The 7,736-nt window shown below is 40.8% G+C and overlaps 4 annotated features.

Moving 5' to 3' along the window:
* Nucleotides 4,123-4,267: an enhancer, noted in NCBI's record as "145 bp enhancer 257 fragment used in the MPRA reporter construct; PK_construct_3839". NCBI's record gives its function as "activates an SV40 promoter by MPRA in HepG2 and K562 cells {active_cell/tissue: HepG2 | K562}" and the evidence as "EXISTENCE:reporter gene assay evidence [ECO:0000049][PMID:23512712]".
* Nucleotides 4,190-4,200: a transcriptional cis regulatory region, noted in NCBI's record as "NFE2L2 motif; enhancer activity is reduced when this motif is scrambled". NCBI's record gives its function as "necessary for full MPRA enhancer 257 activity {active_cell/tissue: HepG2 | K562}" and the evidence as "EXISTENCE:site-directed mutagenesis evidence [ECO:0005528][PMID:23512712]".
* Nucleotides 4,655-5,171: an enhancer, noted in NCBI's record as "H3K27ac hESC enhancer chr9:104224021-104224537 (GRCh37/hg19 assembly coordinates)". NCBI's record gives its function as "activates a minimal SCP1, AML or CMV promoter by ChIP-STARR-seq in naive H9 embryonic stem cells {active_cell/tissue: H9 hESC(naive)}" and the evidence as "EXISTENCE:reporter gene assay evidence [ECO:0000049][PMID:30033119]".
* Nucleotides 5,172-5,688: an enhancer, noted in NCBI's record as "H3K27ac hESC enhancer chr9:104223504-104224020 (GRCh37/hg19 assembly coordinates)". NCBI's record gives its function as "activates a minimal SCP1, AML or CMV promoter by ChIP-STARR-seq in naive H9 embryonic stem cells {active_cell/tissue: H9 hESC(naive)}" and the evidence as "EXISTENCE:reporter gene assay evidence [ECO:0000049][PMID:30033119]".

Here is a 7,736-nt window from a genome sequence, read left to right as displayed (position 1 = left end):
CTGGTGCAGCAAGACCCAGTGTCTTCTCAGTGGCTTACCATGATAAAAGTTTATTTCTTGCTGACACAAAATCTAACAGAGATCTGGGCAACCCTTTAGGACAGCTGTTTTCCATGAAGCCTCCCTGGTCAACTAAGCAGGTTTAAATTGATAACTTGATGGTGGTTACTCACTAGCTCTTTGCTTCAGGCTGCAAATGCTGGAACTAATCAATATGGCTCTACTTTAACTGCAAGAGGGCTAAAAAGTGCAGAGAGGTTCATGTATATGAAAAGGGAGAAGAACAGATTTTGGTGAATACTAGTGATATCTACTTTACAGGTCAGTACTTGGTCCTGGGGGAAAGTGGAAACAATGACCCTCTTTCTAACTGTTGCTTTGTTTTGTCACTTGATCTTCCAATCAGTACAGCTTACATCCAGAATCTCAAAAACTTTCTCATGAGTACACTCTGTTGTAGGCTCCAACATAGGTCAAGGGTGGAAGAAAATGCTGTGCCATCTTTCCCATTCTATCTGACTCATGTGTGTGTGTGTATGTGTATGTGTGTGTCATTATATATATGAGTCATTATATATATATAATATATAATATATGTATGAGCCATGAGCCATTCTCTCTGACTCATATATATATATATATATATATATATATATATATATATATATTTCATGACAAATTTACATACACCCTCTTTCCCCATTTTTTTCCATCCTCCTTCAAACAATAACCAACTTGTTTATTACTGTATTATGAAGTCTTAGCCCAGTGCCTGGAATTCAGAAATGTGTTAACGACTGAATGGATGAAAGGATGGATTGGTTGATGAGTGGGTGAATGGATAAATGATGGTCCTCTTTCCATAGATGATGCAACGAAGGGAACCTGGTTTCACTATCTACCCTATGAACTTGTCCTGTTACCTTGACCCTAGTTGTAGTCCTTCTGGCTTAGATACAAGCTTAGAAAAAGATTGCCTCTTTTTTTGGCTCCCTTTGGATAGAAATTTTGTTTAAGATTAATTATGTTAGTGTCAGGGGTTCAGTTTAGGAGATGAAATCCTACCACTCAGGGATTTCTAATTAAGGAATATGCACATGAGAATAATACCAAATAGAAAATAAAATACCTTTTTATTAACTAAGCGCCCATTTCTCTCCCAGGGCAGAGATATTTGTTAAACCAAATCAAATTATACCATGTAGGTTTGGAAACCTAAGGAAGGTTTCCCTCACTTCCACCCTGGGTGATGAAAAGATCTGGAACAGACCAAATACAATTTATGCACATAGTACATATGCACAGGACAGAGAACGGCCACGCCCTTTCCCAGTGTGCTGCAATAAGGGGACTGTAATTGCCAATGAGGGAACATCAGCTTAGAGACTCTGCCCTCTAGCGAAATGTGGTTTGGTAATTGCCTTGTGCTTTGAGTACTTGAGTAATTCCTCCTCCCTCTGGAAGAAGTTAAAAAGTAAGGAAGACAGAGGGGATGGGGGTGGCAGAAACGCCTCTTCCTCTCCAGACCAAGGTGGAAACGGGAGGAGAGCTGGCTTCTGCTCTTCTTATTCATCTTGAATATAATCTTCACTTCCCCTTTGCCCAAGCCCTTCAGTCCTTTCCCCAGGATCACATTCATTCTACTCCATGACAAAATGACAGTTTTGTCCCCAACCTAGGTCAGTGTCCTCACTCTACTACGTGCTTCCTAGAGGACAAGTTCAAACTCTAGGTTTATAACTGCACTTTTGTATAAAGTTCTTCTTATTTTTAACATAAAACTTGCTATGCACTAATACTGAAATCAATATAAACTTTATTTTGCCAACACATGGATTTCTGATCACGTGGTCCACTATTGAAAATTCTTGGCAAGCTTATCTCAATGAATAGCCAATAGCTAGATTCTGCTGCTGAGCTAGTCTTCATCTCCTTAACATATTTGCTACAAAATAAAAAATCCATAATAATGAAAAAATTGGGGAGATGGGGAAAGACTATGAAGGGTTGGCATAATATAGGCAGTGTGGGAGGGGAGACTTTGGATGGGGCAAAAATCAATATTCCCCTTTCTGGCTTCTTTCACTATCTCCCATTGCCTCCCAATAATATGCCATCATTTTCACCCATTCACCGTCAGTTCTACCAGCCTGAATAAGTGTAAACAGCCTCTGTCTGTGCCATAAATAACCTATTGTGATAGTTCTCTGTTAGATTAACACAGTTCTCCTTCGTTTCCCATTAACAATGCTATTTATTTAGTAGTTCTGTCAACAAAATTTTAGAATAGACAAATAGCATAGACAATGCTTCAAAAAATTGTCATTACTGCAGAATCTTAAAAACAAAAACAAAAATGAGGGCAATTAAAAAACGTAAGTAGCGATTACAAACACGCCACCAGAGAAGATTGTGGAACAGTGTCGCAAATGATTAAAGAAAAATATGACACAGAAATTCTTCAGTTTTCAGGATGGCAGATAAGAAAAGGAACAACTCGCTGAAACACGAAAACTCTCTCTGCTTGTAGGATAACAACTGGCTGAAATCGGTTGGAACCATTATGGCCAACTGGAGTCTGTGTAGAACAAGCTTGCTGACATCACAGCCTGAATTTCCACTGCATGTTTCATACTAACTTCCCCCAAATTTGCACATGTATTCCAGGAGGTAGCATGAAGAGATAACTGCATGCCAGAGGACTTTCCAGACCTCCCCTTTCCCTCTACCAATCAGGGGTAAATCCCAGAATCCATCCCCTAAACCTTCATAAAAGTATTGCCTTATAGCCAGCATGAGGAGATAGATTTGAGTTGGACACCTGTCTCCTTGTTGGTCGACCTGCAATCAAAAGTTATTCTTAGCTGGGCACGGTGGCTCACGCCTGTTATCCCAGTACTTTGGGAGGCTGAGGCGGGTAGATCACCTGAGGCTGGGAGTTTGAGACCAGCCTGGCCAACATCGTGAAACCCCATCTCTACTAAAAACACAAAAAATTAGCTGGCTGTGGTGTGGTGGTGGGTGCCTGTAATCCCAGCCACTAGGGAGGCTGAGGCAGAAGAATCACTTGAACCCGGGAGGCGGAGGTTGCAGTGAGCCAAGATCGAGCCATTGCACTCCAGACTGGGCTACAAGAGCGAAACTCTGTCTTAAAAAAAAAAAAAAAAAGTTTTTCTTTTCTCAAAAACCCAGTATCATAGCATTGGCTTCTAGCACATTGGGAAAGGAGCCTCTTTTGCTCAGTAACAATGGCAAATAAGTACATTAAAGGATGCTTAACATTATTAGTCATAAGGGAAATGAAAATTAAAACCACAATGAGATACTACCACACATTCATTAGAATGGCTAAACTTTTAGGAAACTGAACATACTGAGTGTTGGTGAGGTTATGTAGCCACTGAAACTATTGTACAGTACAGCCACTTTGAAAGACAAGTAGGGAGTTGCTTGAAAAGTTAAACACATACCAATGATCAGATCCAGCCATTCGGCTTCTAGGTATTTACACAAAAACAATGAAAGAAAACATGTGTCCATATTAAGACTCATACAGGAATATTCATAGAGCTTCATAGAGCTTCATTTGTAATAGCCCAAAACTGGAAACCATTCAAATGTCCATCTGCAGCAAATGGACAAACAGATTGAGAATACCCATACCACGGAATACTACTCGGCAATGAAAAGAAAAAAACTATTGATATGTGCAGCAATATGGATAAATCTCAAAATAATTATGCTGATTGAAAGAAGCCAGATTTAAAAAAAGTGTGTATGATGTCATTCATGTAAAATTGCAGAAAATGCAAACTAATCACTATAGTGACATGAAGCAAATAAGGGTTGCCTGGAGATGGGGATGAGGTGAGGTGAGGTAGGGAGGAAGAATTTACAAAGGTGCATAAGAAGACTTTTCGGGATGATGAATATGTTCAATGTCTTGATAGCAGTGATGGCTTCGTGAGTGTATACACATGTTGAAACTTACCAAATGTTATATTTACATATATGCAGTTTATTATGTCAATTATATCTCATAAAGTTGTTGTTTAATAAAAGACTTTTAACACTGGTTTTTGCACCAGCCAAAGATGAAGGAACCGGCTTGTATCTTTCCATTAAGTTTCAAATTACTCTCCCGGAAGCTCCCTTGAAAGTGTAGGTCAGCATAGCGGAGGGGTGAGCGTGCTGAGTCACCTATCACCCCACTGTGCTTTTATCCACTGGTTTGTTTATAGTTTCTCTAAAGATTTCTTTCCAAAAAGACCAGGCTTAAGAGGGGAAAAAAATGGAAAAGGCTTTAAAATTCACTGGATCTTTAATGCCTACTAGCTGTAACATTATCAATCTAAGGTTCTATAAATGAGGAATTTTGTAAAATACTGTCTTTTTTAACTGAAGAAGCCTTCAATTATAAAAGACACACCATATCCCTAGCTTTCCTTAACAGCTTTTTAGGGGAAAAAAGCAAAATAAATGAGTATACTTATTATAAGATGCACTTCAATTTCAAAAATATTCAGAAGTATGATTTTAGAATACACATTCCAGCAAGTAGTCCTAGAGTTTTGGAAAGGGTAGGGTGGGATCGGCCTTCATAAACTTAAATTGCCTGAGTTGTGGTCTCAGCACCCAGGCTAGTCTCAGGCACCATCTCCTTCCTTTAAAGAAGAAGCAATACACTAAAACCCTAAACATTGGATTCAGCACTAGTTTTTTTCTTTTTTCTTTTCCCAGGCTTTGTAGATGGTGAGGTTATAGCCAAAATCCCATTTAACTCTTAAGAATTTAAGCTAACTTTCATTCATTTATTTATTCATTCAACAAAAACTTATTGGGCACCTGGCACTATTCTAGAGTCTGGGGACTCTGTCTGGGGACAGAGTAAGAAACAAGACAGACAAGAGTCCCTGACCCCATAGAGCTTACATTCTAGCAAGAAAACAAATGTTTAAAAAGTATACAGATAAAACACAATATGGGTGTTTCATATTGTGGCTCATATAGGCATGGTGGCTCATGCCTATAATCCCAGCACTTTGGAAGGCCGAGGCAGGTGAATCACCTAAGGTCAGGAGTTCGAGACCAGCCTGTCCAACATGGTGAAACCCCGTCTCTACTAAAAGTACAAAAATTAGCCAGGCATGGTGGTGCGCACCTGTAATCCCAGCTGCTTAGGAGGCTGAGGCGCGAGAATCACTTGAACCCAGGAGGTGGAGGTTGCAGTGAGCCGAGATCGTGCCATTGCTCTCCAGCCTGGGCGACAGAGTGAGACTCCATCTCAAACAAAACCAAAACAAAAAACACAATAGCATTTCAGATTGTGATAAGTGCTATAAAGAAAAGCAAAGCTGCTTAAGGATGTAGAAGTTGTGTGGGTTATTTCTGATAAGGTGTTATAAAGACTTCTCTGAAATGACATTTAGGTAGGGATATGAATGATATGAATGAGTGAACTATGTAAAAATCTGGAGTGTAGCATTCCAGGCAGAAAGCACAGCGAGTAGCATAAGTTCCTGAGGAGGACATAGCTTGGCCTGTTTAAGGAGCAATAAGGTCAGTATGGCTGGGGTACAAAGAGAAAGAGGGAGTGGTCAGAGATGAAGTGGGAGAAGGAAGCTCTTTTAGGTCACAGTTAGGAGCTGGCATTTTATTCTCAGTGTGATGGGAAGCTACTGGAGAGGTGATAAGTTTCTGAACCCCCCACTGAGATTCAGAAGAAACATCTTCCAAGCACAATATTGACATCAGCAGTCTTATCTAATCTCCTCTACGGCAAACGGTTAGATTCCCTCTATCAGCCACGAAAGATAAAAGTACGAAGAACACTATACTGTGCTAGAAATCAATGAAAAGGGTCAGTCACATGCTACAGACAGGGGAATTTTTGCAAGATACAATACAGATGAGATTAGTTTGAAAAAGTGGCCAGTCCTATCTATTACAACTCAGTCAGAAGAAGGAACAGCTAACCAAGAAGTGGACCCCAGCAGAACCCACCTATTTACTCAGGGGCTAGGGTCAGAGATGAGGTGAAGCAAGAGATGATATGGGGGTATATCTGGATCCCCCCAACAACTCTGCAACAGTTTACTTGATAACCGAAGTCATACCAAGCAGGATCCTTCAGTGTCATTTACTGCCAATGTGCCTTTGACAAGGATAAATATGCCTGGCAAATATCCGGGGTGCTACCTTGTCTGGTATCTAACAAGGCAAACCTTGCCATGCAAAGAATAAAGGCATAGACCCAGTTACTTTCTAATTACACAGCAAACAAAAAAATGAAGCTCTTTAGTATACAAGTGAATTTCCTAGCCACAACTACCTCAGGAACTGGTGGTTTCCACACTATCCCCAGTTTGATACCCGAAGTAACAAAGAAAAACAACTTAAAAATCAAAATTGTCTATATAGCCTTCATTTAGACATCACAAAAACTCTGAGAGATTACATTTTAACTTTCCATGTGAGGCAATCAGAAACTATCCTGGCCGGGCGCGGTGGCTCACGCCTGTAATCCCAGCACTTTGGGAGGCCGAGGCGGGCGGATCACGAGGTCAGGAGATCGAGACCATCCCGGCTAAAACGGTGAAACCCCGTCTCTACTAAAAATACAAAAAATTAGCCGGGCGTAGTGGCGGGCGCCTGTAGTCCCAGCTACTTGGGAGGCTGAGGCAGGAGAATGGCGTGAACCCGGGAGGCGGGGCTTGCAGTGAGCCGAGATCCCGCCACTGCACTCCAGCCTGGGCGACAGAGCGAGACTCCGTCTAAAAAAAAAAAAAAAAGAAACTATCCTAAGCTTACTTCTTTAAGAGTGTGCAAATGGGAGCATTTATAGGTGATACAAAGAGATAAAAAAGAAGAGCATCGATCTATCAGAGAAATATCTTCCCATGAAATACAGTTGCTACAACAAATAAGAGAAATTTTAGAAAATTCCAAATCAAGTTTTTGCCAGATTCAAGAGGACTCTGAGCCAGGTGTGTGTGGCTCATGCTTGTAATCCCAATGCTTTGGGAGGCTGAAGTGGGAGGATCACTTGAGCCCAGGAGTAAGAGGCTGCATTGAGCCATGATGATCACACCACTGCACTGGGTGACAGAGCAAGACCCTGTCTAAAAAAACAAACAAAAAAAACTTCAAGAGGACCTTGAAACTTCAAATCGAGAGCACATAGTCATGAAACATTAATGAAAAAAAAAAAATCTAGAACCATCTGTTGGTTGTAGTGAATTTGATAAGCCTGTCTGGATCAAATTTCTTAATCCTATCCTGCCACCTCCTTTCAATACCTTGAAAAACGCCACCGTTTAGAGTATGTGCACAAGTGACAAGTTATGGTCCCGAATCATGATCTCATCCATCCTTGTGAGCTAGGTTGGACTGAATGTCTTGAGCCCAAATGAGTCCTCTTCCTGCCCATGGGGCTTCCTTCACTCTGGTTCTTCCTTAGTCTTCTAAGTGGAGGGAGCAACATTTTTAACTGGGAGGGATAACCCAATGTCTTTCCATAGAACCAGCTTCACGGGAGCAAAGGAAGACGCCATTCAATAGAAAATACCTAACAAGAAAGAACTCCAAGATCAAGTGGCATTGGAGCATTTATCCTAACACAGTTCAACTTATCTATCTACATACACCCTTCTCACTGGAAGTACTGATTCCATTCAGATATCAAAGGAGAAAGCCTTGAGCTCCCCCTAGAGAACAAAGCATGTAGCCAGTATTTC

This window comes from Homo sapiens, chromosome 9 (genome assembly GCF_000001405.40).
Source record: "Homo sapiens chromosome 9, GRCh38.p14 Primary Assembly".
NCBI lineage: Eukaryota > Metazoa > Chordata > Mammalia > Primates > Hominidae > Homo > Homo sapiens.
Note: the sequence above shows the minus strand (reverse complement) of the source record. Positions and strands in the feature narration are given on the sequence as shown.